Source organism: Homo sapiens, chromosome 18 (assembly GCF_000001405.40).
Source record: "Homo sapiens chromosome 18, GRCh38.p14 Primary Assembly".
Classification (NCBI taxonomy): domain Eukaryota; kingdom Metazoa; phylum Chordata; class Mammalia; order Primates; family Hominidae; genus Homo; species Homo sapiens.
In genome coordinates, this window is record NC_000018.10 from 43,433,424 (window position 1) to 43,453,266 (window position 19,843).

Sequence of the window (19,843 nt, forward strand, 5' to 3'; positions counted from 1 at the left end):
AAGGCTTCATATTAACCTGCCCTCCAGGAGCCTTAGGTATCACTTATATATGGTACTCAGTTTAACATGGCCACATACTAATACAACAATAAAGCATATTGTCACTTTAAAATGGACATATTATAGAGAAGTTTACACAAAAATTGAATAATAACATAGGTGATATCAAAAGTCCCTTTTACATTTCAGTGCTAAAACACTTCATTAGCAAAACATGCAATTCTGAAAAAAGAAAAAAACATACACACCTGGTGCTGGCATTTCCACACATACATTTACAAAATGCTTCCAATTAGCATGAAGATGATAATATGACCAGTCTACAGGGCTGTATAATGAATGGTGTTGTTTCAATTAGGAATAATTGATGTATTTATATGCATCCTAGGTGTAGTAGAGCCCCACTAAGGAGTCATCAACTCCATATGACATACTCAAATCATACCCCAATGAAAGCTAATGGCATTCATTAAAATAAAACAGCCCTCATAGAAAGACATTGAGAATTCAAATTCTCTCCTGTAATACAGGATGTGATTACTGGATCACTTTAGCTACAGAGTGACAGGAGAGTAAATATGAATATTTGGAGGAAGGAAATATAACAGTTGCTTCTTTGTTATATTTCTTATCTGTCCACATCAAAATTGACCTTATTATAGTGCTTCCTCTATGTCCAAATTCTCCAAAGCTCTAGAAAACCACCATCGCCCTTGGGATAGCCTCAAATTCATGCTAACTTCAGTATTCAGAAGCATGAACCCTATACTTGTCCATAACTCACCATCATTTTAGATTAATTTCTCCTTTCCTGCATCCAGACAGTTGTGGTGTCCTGTGTATTCTGGGTTACTGAAGTAGCTTCTGATCAGGTTCTCATCATCCCTTACCCTGGAAATTGTGGCAGTGGACTCCTGATTGCTCTGTTATCTCTCCTGTGTAATCTTTCCTGCTCACTGTGGTCCAATTTATCTTCTTAAGTCTCAAGTCAGATAATGTCTGCCCCCTTTAAAAGCACTTGGAGATTCCTTGTTTTCTAGAGAATAAAGCCAAAAATACTATAGTACTCAGTGGTCATGGGATTTCCTTTTTACTTTCAATTATATCCAAATATTTTCACCTTCACTTCCTTACACATCACTCTATCCACTTCCTACTCAAGAAAGAAAGAAAGAAAAGCAGATTTCGGGTATTTCTTTCTACCCAACATTAGAGGCAACTTTAGTTATAAGGACAAACACTGTAATCAATTTGTCAATCTATAGTTATACACTGACCATACACTACTCAATTATTTCTAATCATGATTTCATAAAAGAAATAATTAACTGCCATTACTAGGGGAAACCTTTTCTAATTCGTTGGGAAAGGAAAAGCTAAGATACAGTTACACACACTAAACTTCAGGCAGTTTCTGTTGACCAGAACCTGAGCAAGTCACAAAGTGATTGTGATAGGGAATACACTTAGGACTGCAGGTAGCTGAGATGAGAAGCAAGAGATGGAGGGATATGAGGAAAAACAGTGCATGCATATGTTCTTCTACCCTTCATCTTTTGCCGTCTATGGAGAATCATATACCTGACACAAATGTATGGCTGACACAAGAAGAGCAGGGGTTTGAACTGCTCGGGTCCACTTACAAGTGGGTATTTCTCACCCAGAAATACAGGATTCATAGGATATAAAACTTACATATGCAGAAGGCTGACTTTTCCTACATGCCATTCCATGGGCCAACTTTGGGACTTAAATATGCATGATATATGTGGAAATTCTGAAACCAATTTCCCTTGTAATGAGGGATGACTGTATTTACATAAAACTATATTAATGTTTTAGTGGCTAAAGAGGTTCTATGGTGCAAAGAGGATGAGAATGTCCCTGTGACAAGAGGAATGGATTATGTAATGTTTCTGTGAAAACAACATGGAGCACGTGGAACTGTCTGGACTTGAGTATTCCAGGGTGGCTTCCAGAATCAGAGGCAATGAGTGGAGGAAATATAGTCCCAAGACTATGAAGTAAAGCTCAGATCTAGAGGCCACTGAATAAAGAGGGTATTGGGTACATTCATTACTTATTTTCATAGTCCAACACCATTAATTATCTAATACCAAATTCATAATACCAACCAGGTTACCTACAGTTCAATTCTGCTCTAACGCTACCTGGAGTTAGTGTTAGACTCCACAAGACAAAGGGCTCTGTTGCACAATATCACCCTCAATTCAGATGTCAGCCACAATCCTCAGGGACCATCCAAACTTTTGACAAGCCTGGCTATAAATGTGGGGGTTTCTATGACTCTCTCACTTTTGACAATTCTCTAGAATAACTCAAGGAACTCACTGAAAGTGCTATGCTTGCTTTTGCAGTGTTATTGTAAAGGCTACAAATAGGACATGATTTGGAAGGGTTTTGAACACACAGGTTCTATGCCCCCTCTCTGTAGAGGCAGGGCATATCACCCTCCCTGCACATAAGTGTATTTACCGACCAATCAGGATGCTCCACCAAGCTTCAGAGGCTTTTTGTTTGTTTTATTGGAAGGACATGCCGGCATGATAAATTAGATTAAATCTTGGCCATGTGATTGAGTTCAATCTTCAGCACCCATCCCAACTTCTAATCACATAATTAGCCTTTCTGGGGACCAGCCCTCATCATGAAGCTATCCAGGGGACTCACTTGTCACTTCATTAGTATATCAAAGCCACTCACTCCTATCACTCAGGAAATTCCAAGAGCTTTAGAAGTTCTGTGCCAGGAATCCAGTGGAGAGAAAAATAAGATGTATTTTTTATTATATCGCACCATTGTTTCATCATAGAACTTATTTTGTTACGTACCAAATTTTGCACTACTTTAAACTTTTAAAAATGTGTTCAATGCACATAATGTGGCAGAAATAATAGTAGAAAAAAATCCATATACCCTTTATTGAGTTTCATCTATGATTAACATTTAACCCCATTTGTTCACTGCATCATCTCTCTCATTCCCTCCCACTTCTTCTACACACATGTGCATGCATGCACGCACACAAACCCACGCACATATTTTTGTCTCTCATCTGTTTGAGGATTCATGACATGTGTCATCTGCACTATTCTTAAGGTTAATATAAAAGGCTTTTCTACTTTACTTTCTTCTTTGTCCTTGCAACTGTGGTTATATTTATTAAAGAAAATATTTTTCTTCATTTTGTATTTTTTTTAATATTTTAAATTTCAGGCCAGGTTGCTTTATATTAGTTGTACTAATCAGTTGTTCTCTACTTCTTAAAACAATTCTTTATTAATTTTATACATTGTGAATGCATAAAATTTTATACAAAGTTTATAACTTGTCTTCACTTTAAGGTGTCTTTTAATTTTAATATTTAATATTCATATAGTGAAATATATTCATCTTTTTTAAACTGAAAAGTCTTACAAATTCAAAACCTTTCTCCAGATCAAAATCCAAAATATTTTATAACATCTTTTATGAAGCGTCTTTTCAAATGTTTTTCCCATTATCTATTAATTTTTTTATTTTTTATTTTTCAGTTTTGTGGGTACATAGTAGGTATATATATTTATGGGGTACATAAGATATATAATACTTTGATACAGGAAGGCAATGTGTAAATCAAATTATGTTAAATGGGAGTCCATCCCCTCAAGCATTTATCCTTTTTGTTACAAAAAATACAATTACACTCTTTTAGTTATTTTAAAATGTACAATTTAATTATTATTGACTATAGTTGCCCTGCTGTGCTTTCAAATACTAGGTCTTATTCATTCTTTCTAACATGTTTTTGTGCCCATTAACCATCCCCACTTCCCCACCACTGCTCTAATACTCATTGCACCCTCTGGTAACCATCCTTCTACTCTCTATCTCCATGAGTTCAATTGTTTTAAATAAGTGAGAATATGTGAAGTTTGTCTTTCTGTGCCTAACTTATTGCACTTAACATAATGACCTCCAGTTCCATCCATGTTGTCACAAATTACAGAATCTAATTCTGTTTTATGGCTAAATAGTACTCCATTGTATATATGTACATTTTCTTTATCCATTCATCTATTAATGGACACTTAGGCTGCTTCCAAATCTTGGCTATTGTGAACAGTGCTGCAACAAACATGGGAGTGCAGCTATCTCTATGATATATCTCTTTGGGTAGATTTGCAGCAGTGGGATTGCTGGATTATGGTAGTTCTATTTTTAGATTTTTGAGGAACCTCCAAACTATTCTCCATAGTAGCTGTACTAATTTGCATTCCCACCAGCAGTGTATGAGGGGTTCCTTTTCCCCAGATCCTCAACAGCATTTGTTATTGCCTGTCTTTCGGATAAAAGCCATTTTTACTGGGGTGAGATGATATCTCACTATAATTTTTATTTGCATTTCTCTGAGGATCAATGATGTTGAGCAGCTTTTCATATGTGTGTTCGCCATTCATATGTCTTCTTTTAGGAAATGTCTATTCAGATCTTTTGCCCATTTTTTAATCAGATTAGATTTTTTTCCATAGAGTTATTTCAGCTCCTTATATATTCTGGTTATTAATCCCTTGTCAGACAAGTAGTTTGCAAATATTTTCTCCCATTCTGTGGGTTGTCTCTTCACTTTGTTAATTGTATCCTTTGCTGAGCTGAAGCTTTTAACTTGATGTGATCTCATTTGTCCATTTTTGCTTTGGTTTCCTGTGCTTATGGAATTTTACTCAAGAAATTTTTGTCCACATGAAAGCGGGGGGTTTCTTCAATGTTTTCTTGTAGAAGTCTCACAGTTGAGCACTTAAATTTAAGTCTTAATTCATTTTGATTTGATTTTTGTATACAGTGAGAAATAGAGGTGTAGTTTCATTCCTCTGCATACTGATATCCAGTTTTCCCAGCACCATTTATTGAAGAGATTGTCTTTACCCCAATGTATGTTTTTGGCAACATTGTAAAAAATGCACTGTAGGTGTATCAATTTGTTTCTGAGGTCTCTATTCTGTTCCATGGGTCTATGTATCAAAGCCACTCACTCCTAACACTCAGGAAATTCCATTTTGTATTTTTGGTAGTTATTTTAATTTTCTTTTTACTCATGGTGGTGGGTAAAGATGTTAATGTTTACATGTAGATCTCCAACACCCATTTCCTATTATTCTGAATTGGGGGTCCCCTGGGAGCCAAGGTATCTCTGCTTTTAAAGAAATGCCTCCACATTATCTTGACCCAGGTAATCTTTAAAAACCTGCTTTGAGGAAGTTAATGCTTTTAAATCATCCCTACATCTGTTGTCAAGTTTATAAAGTTTTCCATAAAAACTTTTGTAAAGGAAAATATTTTATAGAGCAAACTATTTACTATGCCCATAAAAAAGAATGAGATTGCATCTTTTGCAGGGACATGGATGGAGCTAGAAGCCATTATCCTCAGCAAGCTAACAGAGGAACAGAAAACGAAACACCACATGTTATCACTTCAATGAGAATACATGGACACAAGGAGGGGTGTTGTGGGAAGTCAGGGACCCCGAATGGAGGGACCAGCTGAAGCCATGGTGGAAGAACATAAATTGTGAAGATTTCATGGACATTTCTTAGTTCCCCAAATTAATACTTTTATAATTTCTTACACCTGTCTTTACTGCAATCTCTGAACATAAATTGTGAAGATTTCATGGACATTCATCACTTCCCAAGAGTATTGATCCAAAAATCAATACTCTTATAATTTCCTATGCCTGTCTTTACTTTAGTCTCTTAATCCCATCATCTTCGTAAGCTGAGGATGTATGTCACCTCAGGACCCTGTGATGATTGCGTTATCTGTACAAATTGTTTGTAAAACATGTGTGTTTGAACAATATGAAATCTGGGCACCTTGAAAAAGAACAGAATAACAGCAATTTTCAGGGAACAAGGGAGATAACCTTAAGGTCTGACTGCCTGCGGGGCCGGGCAGAACAGAGTTATATTTCTCTTCTTGCAGAAAGCAAACAGGAGAAATGTCGCTGAATTATTTTCCCAGCAAGGAATAGCCCTGGGAAAGGAATGCATTCCCAGGGGGAGGTCTCTAAAATGGCCACTCTGGGAGTGTCTGTCTTATGCAGTTGAAGATAAGGGATGAAATACACCCTGGTCTCCTGCAGCACCCTCAGGCTTGCTAGGATTAGGAAATTCCAGCATGGCAACTTCTAGTCAGACCAGTTGTCTGCTCTCAAACCTGGTTTCCTGTTAAGATGTTTATCAATGACAATGCATGCCCAGCGGGACATGGAACCTCATCAGTAATTCTAATTTCGCCCTGGCCTTGTGATCTTGTTCTGCCATTTGCCTTGTGATATTTCATTGCCTTTTGAAGAATGTGATCTCTGTGACCCACTCCCTGTTCATAACCCCCTGCCATTTTGAAATCCCTAATAAAAATAAAAACTTGCTGGTTTTGTGGCTAAGGTGGGCATCACGGAACCTACCAATAGGTGATGTCACCCCTGGAGGCCCAGCTGTAAAATTTCTCTCTTTTGTACTCTTTCTCTTTATTTCTCAGACTGGCCAACACTTAGGGAAAATAGAAAAGAACCTTTGTTGAAATATCGGGGGCCGGTTCCCCTGATAGAGGGGAACAATGCACACTAGGACCTGTTGAGGGATGGGGGAAGGGAGAGCATTAGGATAAATAGCCAATACATGGAGGGCTTAATACTTAGGTGATGGATTGAGAAGTGCAGCAAACCACCATAATGATAGCAACAGGAGGCAGCCAAATGCCTAGGCAGATAGGGGAGGGTTCCCAGTGAAACACCACCTCCAAGTTGAAAACAGTTTAAAGCCTGAAAGCCAAGCTACAAGTTAAATCCTCAGACTGGATTGAGAACTTGTCTTCCTATTTGGTGTGCTTTCCTCTGATTGATCCCCACTCTTCACCTATTTTACATATACGTACTCTTTCCTAACTGGTTTTATACACTGTTGTGTCCACCTTTGAATGGTGTTTCTGCTTTAACCTTTTTTGCATACTCACAAACAAATCAATACACATTCCCCATTCTGAGGTCATAAAAGCCCCGGGATCCAGCCACACAGGGGATTTTCCCACCTTCAGGTAGGGGAACCACCCACCAAGTCCCCTCTTTGCTGAGAGCCTTCCTTTCACTTAATAAATTCTTCTCCTCTCACTCTCTGGTGTCTGCATACCTAATTTTTCCTGGTTGTGAGACAAGAACTTGGACCTAGCTGAGCTAAGGAGCAGAAAGATCACAACAATGACACACGTTTACCTATGTAACAAAACAAAACTGCATGTTCTGCACATGCATCCCAGAACTTAAAATAAAATAAAATTTTAAAAACCAGCATGCAAATGAAACAAAAAATAGAAGAAAACAATTTAGTGAAGTTCTTTTTGCTCTTTATTGTGCAAATATCAATAAATTAGATTGTATCTACTGTATGCTTCTCTCATTTGATGAAATATGGCAGTTTCAGATACTACAAAGTTTAACATGTATTCTCTATAGTAAAAAATACTGTACACAAGTATTTTTAGTTTAATCTCTGTCTGAGGCTGGATTTTCTGTAAGCAAAACCTAAGATAAGGATTTGATTCCATGTGATATTTTTTTAAGATAGTGCTCTCAGTAGGCACAGCTTGATGGAATCAGGACAGAGAAAGAAACTAAACCCATGAGTGTCTCAGCTAGAGTATAGCTCCAGCCTGATCCCCAGGATAACTCTGGACAATAAATTTTACAGCACAGAGGAAAAATCCAAAGCATAGAATCTGGGCTTTTGTAATCTCATGCCAGTTAGTCATTTGATACCACCAGTAGCAAGGGTAAGGGACATAACTTCTCAAGCAAGGCAGCTTCCATTTGGCAGAGGGAAATTACCTAGAGATGAGTGCAGCTGTGTGAGCATTAGCAAACAATAACCATTGCAGCAGGGGGCAGGTGCATCAACTCTATAAAGGGGATCTGGGAAAAGCACCAACCGGGTCCACCACAATCTCAGTATCCCAGTGATTATTTGTCAACTATTTAGCAGAGAACAATCCTGTTCTGAACACCATGTTATCACATCAGATGCCCAGAAAATGTTTAAATTAGGCATCATAATTTTGGGTAGCCCTTGAAATATACCCGTTTGCATGACTTTAGTAATTAAACTTTAAAAATGAGCAGACAGCTACTGTAAGAACATTTTTAAGGTGATGCATGCTGTAATGCGATGTTCCAGAGTGGAAACAGAAGGCTGTTAATCTGTATCCTCAATGTCACCAGACACTGCTTCTTCTCTTTCTACTCACTATCTTTAATTGAAGCTATTTATTCATCGCTCCTCCACTTAAATACACCTGCTTTGTATTTTATTCAAATATATGTTCCTGTTTCTTTTCTATTCAGTAAATGCTCAATTCATGGTTAATGAGCAACTAAATATACATATGAATATACCTAGGTATATTATAAATATACATATATATATTACTGTAACTGTGATACGGCACTTGTCTCCAACATTTCTTTTATGTGACAAAGAAGGAAGACAATCATATAGAACAGTGATTAGTTTAAATAAGATATAATTTACTGCTATAATTGGTTAGATGGGCTGTGACTAGGAAGCTAATGAAATGAAAAGCAGTCAAACTTGGTGAAATATTTTTTCTCACTAAGTATCAACAAGTACTAGAAATCCTGTTGTTATCTAAATAAAGCAATAATATTCCTACTTGGAGGAAAAAAACAGAAACGAATGGAAATTGTTCATTCATAAATTCAGTGTAAATACATATTTTCAGGTGGTGGGCTAAATATGGAACGGGGAGAAGAATCTGTTTTGCTTCTAAGCTAACACGTTCACACATCTTTTTTTTCTTTTCCAATTTTTCAGATTCTTAGTACAGATGGTATACCAGGTGGTTTAAAAATCTGCCTGACAACAACAACAAAACTCAAGTAATCACTCCTCTTCTGCAGATGTTGATTTTTGTTCTCACGGCAGCTACCAAAATCAGAAACTTCTTTTCCCCTTAACATAAAAACATGCATTTTTAGTTTATTTATACTCAAACCTTAATCCAGAAATGATTTCAAGTGGCTTATAATGATATCTAAAAACAAACATTTTGTTCACTTAATTATGTTCTGAATCTGTGTTAGTTTCTATTTTCTGAATATTTTAGCAGTTGCCTAAATATTGATTGTAGAAACTAGGATTTGATTTTTATCTCTGAACCTACAGGGATTCCCATTTTCTATCTTGCACCGTCAGTGGCCAGAGCTTAATATTTATGACTCATCATTTAGAAATAACATCTCTGATGCAAACAGATGGCATTTATAGAAATGGTGTTGGGGCTCTCTGCCAACACTGGGACATTACATAGCAAAGGAGGCATGTCAGGAACAAGCATGAAAGTTGGAGATGAGACAGCCCAGGTAAGCATTAAATTGGACATCTAGACATGTTGATGAGACAACTAGATACTTGACATGATTGGAAGATTATGGAAACATGTTACCAATGACAGTCAATAAAGTACTGCATTCAGCCTAATTAATCTTTTTTCTTTAAATGCTATACCTGTTTGCGTTGTTAGTACCAAACATTAACTTTTATAGGATCATAATTTGATAAATGTTTATTAGCAGTAAACATAGACTAAATATTTTAACCAGTCAAAATGACCTATTTTTATTAAGTTGGATGCTGCATATGCTCATTTGAAATGCACTAGTACATAAACTTGGTATTCCAAAGAACTTGAAATTCAGAGGTTATAGAGAAGAATAGTTAGTTTCTTCAGCTCTTATTTCATGGATACTTATAAGGGATGGGTTTTGAGAGTCAAGGAGAAATGCACTAATGGCTACGACCTCCATCAGTACTTGCTAAATAAAAATTAAAATTCACTTGAACATGCTCTACTTAATTTGAAAAATATTTAATATCCAGTGGTATATAACATAAAAAATTGAGCTGATACTAGGATAAATCCTGCTGTAATAAACAGAAAGCTCTTTCCGTATGGCTGATACTACACTAGGTGAAGAGGATTCAGTAATGAAAGAGTAAGACATGGTCTCCTGTCTGGCTTCATGGGGCTCATAGTCATGTGGGTCACAGCCAAGGGTGATTAGCTTCCTTAGGTAGGATGTGGACGAGAGTCAAATAGTGTAGGTGTGTGTGTGCCTGGGTTGGGGAAAGGCGGTGTGTGCTACTGATTGACATAATGACTGAGCAGTGCTATAGGTCTTCAATAGGTAAGGCCTAGTCATGGTAAACATCTTGTGCTGCCTGGGAGAGACCCATGCAATGAAGAATTGCCTTCCCAAAATGCTTATAGTGTCCCTTTTGAAAAATACTACAGGAAAAAAAGACAATGTGCACTTAAAATATGGTGTACTCATATAAAAAATAAAATACAGAATTACAGCACAAATGAACATTACAGCATATATTAGAAATGTCTAATCCAACCTTACAGCTTTAAAGGATCAGGGATGGTCTTTCAAAAGAAAATGCAACTGAAGAAACAATAAAATTGAATCACATGAAATGTAGTTGGAAGGAGGTAGCTACAGTCTTGAGCAAAAGCCTGCAGGCAGGAGAGATGTTCCATATAAGGAACAAAAGTTAACATGTATAGCTGAGATTAGACTGCCAGGTAGGAAGTGCCAAGAAATGAAACTGGAACAAGGACCAGGGCCAGGTTTTGCAAGGTCTTATAAGGTGTGCTATGGAATCTGCAAGTTCACTGGAGGAAAACAGAAAGTTACTGAAGGAATTTCATTCAGGAAGGAATATGACCCTAGCTGAAGTCTAAAATTGTTTCACTTTAATTTGAAGAAATAATGGGATGTTCTCTCAATAGCTTTTTATCTTTGCACTAAATTATTTCTGCTACTGCTGTCAATAAGCATTAAAAGTTAGGGATGCACAAGAAAGTAGAGAAGAGGAGATAAACGTTGTATCAGAACATCAATTGGATGCCTAATGTGGATGGGGCATTTGTACAGCCAGGACTTACACTGTTTCATAGTAATAAAATGCAAGCCACCTAGGTAATCCTAGATTTACTAGTAGGCACGTTAAAAATTTACAAAGGAATAGGTAAAATTAATGTTAAAATATATTTTATTTAAATCATATATTCAAATATGATCTCAACGTGCAACCAATATAAAAATTTACGAGATATTTTACTATTTTATTATTTACATACAGAATCTTAGAAATGCAGCAAACATATTACACTTGTAGCATGCCTCTGTTTCTACTACCCACTTTTACATGGTCAACTACCACATGTAGATACTGATTCTCACACTGGACAGCACAGGCATAATGCTTGTTCGTGATGAGAGAAGAAAAAGTTTGATTATTTGCTATATAACTGAATAAAACAGACTTTTCAAATGCTGAAGTGGGAACTAAGCAAAAGTAGAATCCCTATTTGTATCAATTGATTAGAAGGGAGAAAAAGGGAAAACATCATGACTCATTGTTTTCTCCCTGCCTATGGATAACTATTAGGCTGACTTTATGTAAACACGGATGATTGTTCTCTTCACAAATCAGGGCACTGTGATTTCTTTTTTTCTTTTAAACCAAACAGCTACTATAAAACTAAACAGTAAGTGAAAATTTGTATTTATTATAGTGCTTTGTTTGATGTGAATGTTCAAATACTGAGATAAGCATAAATAGATTGGAAATAGTATTCATTCAAAACCTAATAGCCTGATACAAATTCAAATATTACCATCATTTTAATTCAAAATATTATATACTATTTGAATTCTGGCTGTGAAGAACAGAAGAAAATTGCCAGTTCTGTGCTCTATCACAGTAACTGAGATATATAACGGTGACTAGAATATAATAAAAATATCTAAAGTTTCAAGAGATTATATAAGGTAATATAATCTTAATATAATAAACATTAAGATTAAATATGTTAATTCATTTAATCTTCATAACTGTTCTATGAGATGGACATTGCCATTAAAGTCATTTTATGGATGAGTAAATAACAGTTCCTAGAGACTAAATTATGTATAAACATAGATACAACTTAATAAAGATCATTAATTTTATTGTAGGTGGGAAATTCAGGGATTTGAACCCACAGAGTTTAGTTCTACAGCGATTTTCTTCATTATTACTGAATATTGCATTCAATAGTTATTTGTTGAATGAATGAAGCATCAATTTTCTCACGAAATGTGTTGCATTTGAATATGACACACAATGATTTTAAGGGTAAGAGAAGGAAGCAATACAGTTGGGTCGTGAATGGCTTCAAGGGAAAAGTAGGACTTAAGTGGAACATTGGGGGATAAGGAAGATTTAAACATGCTGAGTACCATATCCAGTGTATTTTGTGCATAAAGAAGCATAGAAGTAGAGTGTGAAGCAGGTGATTAACTTGGATTTCAGGCAACAGTGCAGTCACAGTTCAGAATGGTCCACATGAAAGACCAGACTTAACAGTGGTTCAGATGTGGGCTTTGGAAAATGCAGTGGTTCCCTTCTGTCTTCTCTGTTTAGTCCAACATAAAAGACTATTTCAAGGGGAGAGTGTCCTCAATCTATGGACCTCCTTGTTGTATAGAATATATTAGCCTGGCTGTTGTCCCTTTTGGGTTCATATGTTTTTGGCATGAATCTTTCCAATATGAAATGCACAGGCACATGATACATAAGGCAAGATTGAGTAAATACTAGGGCTCACAACCTGTAAAGTATCCAAGTGTTCCAGGAATTCTTCTTGCATGTTCCAACCTCTTTCCACTGTACCACCTCCAGATTTGATTTGATGTTCTGGCTTTTGTGTTCTGCTCCACATTTCACCATCAAATCTTATCTACCCGGACAGATATTTTGCTGCGATTGAAAACCCTGTCATAAGCATCCTTGCATTCCCGATGCCTAGCACTGAAGGTGGCATATTGGAATAATTAATTGTACCACAGTTATGAGCAAAGACTCCATGTGCACCCTGTACAGCTTTGGCTCTTGTCACTGCCACTTATCAGCTGTGTGACCTTGAACAAGTTACCTACACATAGAGTTATTGTGAGGACTAGGTGAGTTAAATATATGCAATGCCCTAGATCAGTACCTGGGTCATGTAAGTGTTATATAAGATTCACTGTTATATTCGTTATTGTTTTTGAACTGAATTTTAAGGGGTAAAAGAACTCTCTTTTATGCAGAGATCTGTCTGCCTTACCCTTCCCTTATATGGAAATTTTTAAAATTTTTATGCTAAATGTAGTAGACTTTTACTCTATAGTCATTTGTTTCCATTATTAGGACTGTAATTAGAGGAGAAGCACCAAAATGGCTGTCTAGAAACAGTTAATACACATTGATACAGATTGCTTTCATTGAGAAGAGACAGAGTGGTGAGTAAACATTAGTTCTTCAAGTGGATCATCCAGGGGCCCACATTGGGGTTCATCAAGGAAGCAATGGTGACCCATGGAGAGCAGAGACCAGTGAGACATGATGGCCACCCACCTGGGATTGGCACAGATCCAAGGGAGGCTCCCTACTGGAAGGGAAAGTGTGAGTAAACAAGAGCCCTTAGGTACCCACACTTCTGCCATAAGCCTTTACAACCTTTGGCATGGGAGATTCCCCCTGACCCTCTGGGACTCCAGACTAACATGGAGAGCTGCCTGGAGTCTGGGGAGAGCTGCTGGTGAAGCCCACATGAAGCTCCATGGGTCTTGGATCCCTGAGCACCCCAGCACCAGCTGCCGTAGCTCCACAAAAAAGGAAAGCCAGGCTCTTTCACACATCCCTAGGAAAGGGACTGAATCATGAAGCTGGGGAGCAGATAGACTGCAGGCCCTGGCCCCACTGCCCCTTGCCAGGTAAGGCCTACTGGCCGGGGCCCCAATGCAGCTACTCCATCCTTACCTGAGCACTCCAGCTCATTGCTGTCCTGCATTTCTCTGGACTTGAACCCCCAGAGTTAACACAGGCCTGCTGCAATTACTGCTGCCATGGGCCCCATCCCTGTTGCTGAGAACTGTCACTGACTCCCAGCACACTACAGCTGCCATCCATATGGCCAGACTGTTTTCCATGTGGGTGCCTGTCTCTGCTACTCCTCACTGGGCAAGGCCTCCTGGTCTGGACCACCAGCACAGCTGCCGCATCCCTGTTGACGGCAGCTGTGCCTTTCTCTGGGGTGGAGCTCCCAGAGACAAATGACAGTCTCTCTGCCATTACCACCCTTGCTCATGTCAGGCTAGCGAGAGAATAAACAGCCTGATTGCTTTTGCATGCCTAGAACATTCAGAGGCCATCCTATGGAGAAGAGGCCAGACTATCTTCTGCATGAACTCCTGATATTCCTCCTCTTCACCAGGCAGAGCCCCCAAGCTTGGACCCTCAGCATGGTTACCTTATGCCCAGCTGATCATCTCATTGGCAGAGAGTCTGCATTTCCCTCAAGTGGAGTTCCCTGTGGCAACTGACAGCCCCTCTGCCACTACCCCTACTGTGATACCTGCCCTTGCTACCTCTAAGCAGTGGGAGGGCACAAAAATCCTGATTGCTTTACTCACATCTTTAGCATGCCACCATCAACCTACAGAGAAAAGGACAGGCTGTCTTACCAGTAAGTCCCTGTCCACCACTCTTCACCAGGCAGGGACCCTCAGCTTGCGCCAGCAGCAGCCATTCCATTCCCAGTTGATATCTCCAGTTGATAGTGGCTCTGTGTTTCTCTGGGGTGGAGCTGTCAAAGGCAACTGACATCTCCTCTGCCTTTGCTGCCACTACAGTCCCTGCACCTGCTACTACCAAAGGGAACAAAAAGCCTGGGTGTGATGTGCAGCTTGGGAGTGCTGAGCAGAGATCTGTGGCCAGTACTTGAGCACAGACTCTCAGAGCACTGAGAAGAGTGAGTCAAGTGGGTTCGTGGGCTGCTGCAGCAGTGGGGCATGCCTTCCTCCAAACGGCCAGCCCAGAAAAGGTGTAGTCTGTCTCCCTGACATGATGTCTGCCTGAGGGAACCCTGTGGCCTGGAACACCTAACAAAAGAAATAAGCGAGCACTGCCAGTGAGTGGAGGGGGCTCCCCCAAGGCCTAGGAGTGAACCTGGTGAGTAGGTCTCCTCTCCTCTGTATAATAGAGTCACACGGCTGAGTGAGAGCCTATCTACTGCCATTTACTCTTAAGCACTTTCTACTAGATTACATCCCAAACTACACCACCAAAAAAAAAGTGTTGCTAATATACTCCCCTGTGAAATCAAGGGCAAGAATTCAGCCACACACACATCCTTGGCCATCTGAAAACTTACAGAAATGAAGTACACTGACAATACCCAATTTATATTACAGTTAAAGGAATACAAACCCTCCCAGATGAGAAAGAATCTACAAAGGGCTAATATTCAAAATCTACAAAGAACTTAAACATATTTACAAGAAAAAATCAACCCCATCAAAAAGTGGGCAAAGGATATGAACAGACACTTCTCAAAAGAAGACATTTTTGCAGCCAACAGACACATGAAAAAATGCTCATCATTACTGGTCATCAGAGAAATGCAAATCAAAACCACAATGAGATACCATCTCACACCAGTTAGAATGACGATGATTAAAAAGTCAGGAAACAACAGGTGCTGGAGAGGATGTGGAGAAATAGGAACGCTTTTACACTGTTGGTGGGAGTGTAAACTAGTTCAACCATTGTGGAAGACAGTGTGGTGATTCCTCAAGGATCTAGAACTAGAAATATCATTTGAGCCAGCGATCCCATTACTGGGTATATACCCAAAGGATTATAAATCATGCTACTATAAGGACACACACACACATATGTTTATTGTGGCACTATTCACAATAGCAAAGACTTGGAACCAACCCAAATGTCCATCAATGATAGACCGGATTAAGGAAATGTGGCACATATACAGCATGGAATATTATGCAGCCATAAAAAAGTATGAGTTCATGTCCTTTGTAGGGACACAGATGAAGCTGGAAACCATCATTCTGAGTAAACTATCGCAAGGACAGAAAACCAAACACCGCATGTTCTCACTCATAGGTGGGAATTGAACAATGAGATCACTTGGACACAGGGTGAGGAACATCACACTCCCGGGCCTGTCAGGGGGTGGGGATATGGGGGAGGGATAGCATTAGGAGAAATACTTAATGTAAATGACGAGTTAATGGGTGCAGCAAACCAACATGTCACATGTATACATACGTAACAAACCTGCACATTGTGCATATGTACCCTAGAACTTAAAGTATAATAATTAAAAAAAGGACAGAAAAAATCAATAATTTATAACAATTAACAAATAGTAAGAAAGGTACCAAATTGTATGAGGGTGCTTATTTCTTCAAATTTTACTTTAATTCAGGTTTTTTTTTTTTTTTTTTTTTTTTTTGGATAGAGTCTTGCTCTGTCACTCAGGCTGGAGTGCCGTGGAGCGGTCTCGGCTCACTTCAAGCTCCGCCGCTCCGGTTCACGCCATTTTCCTGCCTCAGCCTTCCCAGCAGCTGGGACTACAGGCACACGCCGCCAGGCCCAGCTAATTTTTTTGTATCTTTAGTAGAGATGGGGTTTCACTGTGTTAGCCAGGATGGTCTCGATCTCCTGACCTCGGGATCCGCCCGCCTCGGCCTCCCTTTAATTCAGGTTTGTCATAAAAATACGGTATTGGCCGGGCGCAATGGCTCACACCTGTCATCCCAGTACTTTGGGAGGCCGAGGCAGGGAGATCACAAGGTCAAGAGATCGAGAACATCCTGGCCATGGCCAACATAGTGAAACCCCATCTCTACTAAAAATATAAAAATTAGCTGGGTGTGGTGGTCCGCATCTGTAGTCCTAGCTACTCTGGAGGCTGAAGCAGGAGAATCGCTTGAACCTGGGAGGCAGAGGTTGCAGTGAGCTGAGATTGCACCACTGCACTCCAGCCTGGAGACAGAGCGAGACTCCATCTCCAAAAAAAAAAAAAAGACATAAAAATGGCCAATAAACATGAAAAAATTCTCATCATCACTAATTATCAGAGAAATGCAAATCAAAACCACAATGAGATACTAATACCAATCATAATGCCTATTATTAAAATGTCAAAAAAGAAACAGATGCTGGTGAGGCTGTGAATAAAAGAAAATGGTTATACACTGTTGGTGGAAATGCAAATTAGTCCAGACACTGTGGAAAACAGTGTGGAGATTTCTTAAAGAGCTTAAAACAGAGGTAACATTCAACACCACAATCCCATCACTGAATACATAGCCAAAGGAAAACAAATCATTATACCAAAAAGACGCATGCACTCATATGTTCATTGCCACATACTTTGCTATTCACTATGGCAAAAACATGGAATCAAACCAGGTATCCCTCAATGGTCAATTGGATAAAGAAAATGTGGTACATGTACACCATGGAATACTATGCAGCCATAAAAATAATAAAATAATGTCCTTTGTAGCAGTATGAATAGAGCTGGAGACTATAATCCTAAGTGAACTAACACAGAAACAGAAAAACAAATGCTCCATGTTTTCACTTATAGGTGGGAGCTAATCACTGAGTACACATGGACATAAACATGGGAACAATAGACACTAGACTACTAGAGGGTGTCAAGAGGGGGCATAGGTTTAAAAACTACCTATTGAGTACTATGCTTACTATCTGGGTGCAATATACCCATGTAACAAACCTGCACTTACATATCCTATATGCATAGTTGACATTTTTAAAAAATCTCATAACTTGAGTAATTTGTATTTTTGATATGTTACTTTTTTGTCATTCCAAATTATAGCAAGTTAATCTCTTATACATTTATTAACTTTTTTACTATTTGTAAATAGGATATACGCTACTAAAAATTGAGACAGTAATTAATGAAGTAAAATTTTAAAGCATTAAAAAATAAGTCAATAAAAATATATACTTTTAATGTAGGTACAATATCTTCTATAAACAATTCACAATCCTGTACATAATTTGTCGATGTTGCTTGAGCATTTTAGTTTCATTAATATGGGCTAATATGAAATTTCTGCCTTTCATCATTTTAGGGAAGCTTTGACATATTTCTTCCTTGTTTGCCAAGAGAACTTTGGTGTCCTTTAATGCCAATGCTTTTTAAAAACATGGGAGAAAATTTTCGCAACCTACTCATCTGACAAAGGGCTAATATCCAGAATCTACAATGAACTCAAACAAATTTACAAGAAAAAAACAAACAACCCCATCAAAAAGTGGGCGAAGGACATGAACAGACACTTCTCAAAAGAAGACATTTATGCAGCCAAAAAACACATGAAGAAATGCTCATCATCACTGGCCATCAGAGAAATGCAAATCAAAACCACTATGAGATATCATCTCACACCAGTTAGAATGGCAATCATTAAAAAGTCAGGAAACAACAGGTGCTGGAGAGGATGTGGAGAAATAGGAACACTTTTACACTGTTGGTGGGACTGTAAACTAGTTCAACCATTGTGGAAGTCAGTGTGGCGATTCCTCAGGGATCTAGAACTAGAAATACCATTTGACCCAGCCATCCCATTACTGGGTATATACCCAAATGAGTATAAATCATGCTGCTATAAAGACACATGCACACGTATGTTTATTGCGGCACTATTCACAATAGCAAAGACTTGGAACCAACCCAAATGTCCAACAATGATAGTCTGGATTAAGAAAATGTGGCACATATACACCATGGAATACTATGCAGCCATAAAAAATGATGAGTTCATATCCTTTGTAGGGACATGGATGACATTGGAAACCATCATTCTCAGTAAACTATCGCAAGAACAAAAAACCAAACACCGCATATTCTCACTCATAGGTGGGAATTGAACAATGAGATCACATGGACACAGGAAGGGGAATATCACACTCTGGGGACTGTGGTGGGGTCGGGGGAGGGGGGAGGGATAGCATTGGGAGATATACCTAATGCTAGATGACACGTTAGTGGGTGCAGCGCACCAGCATGGCACATGTATACATATGTAACTAACCGGCACAATGTGCACATGTACCCTAAAACTTAGAGTATAATAAAAAAAAAAATAAAAAAAAAAAAAAAATAAAAAATAAAAAAAAAAAATAAAAACAGTTTACCCTCAGTTTTGTAGAAACACAGTAGCCAGGGCAGATGTGGGAAGGGTGGAGTTTGGGAGTTAAAGGTAGCCAATGGGGAGGAGGGAAGGGATCCTTTCCTGTGATCACTGACAGATTTCTCTACTCTCAAATAAGATGCCCTGCAGGCTCAATGGGATGCCACGAATTCTCACTGAATTTATGATAATTGATGACTGCCTCTATGAGTCTCTTCATGTAAAGTTTCTTCTCATATATTCCATCCCAACTATTTGGGGAGGAGAAGCCTATAGAACACTATATACACTTTTTTTTTTTTTTTTTTTTTTTTTTTGAGAGGGAGTCTCGCTATTTTTGCCCAGGCTGGAGTGCAGTGGCGCGACCTCCATTCACTGCAATCTCTGCCTCCCGGGTTCAAGAGATTCTCCTGCCTCAGCCTCCTGAATGGGACTATATATACCTTTTAAATATAATACCTTGTGGCTATCTGTGCTTTTACGTTTCAGAATTCCTCCTATTATCTGTTTTAATAATTCTGGCAAATCTCATCTTTCCTTATCCAGACATGGTTTTTATTTTTCAATTTTATTTTAGGTTCTGGGGGTACATATGTAGATTTGTTACATGAGTAAACTGCATGCCACTGAGGTGTGGTGTAGAAATGATCCCATCACCCAGGTAGTGAGCAGAGTACCCGATAGGTAGTTTTT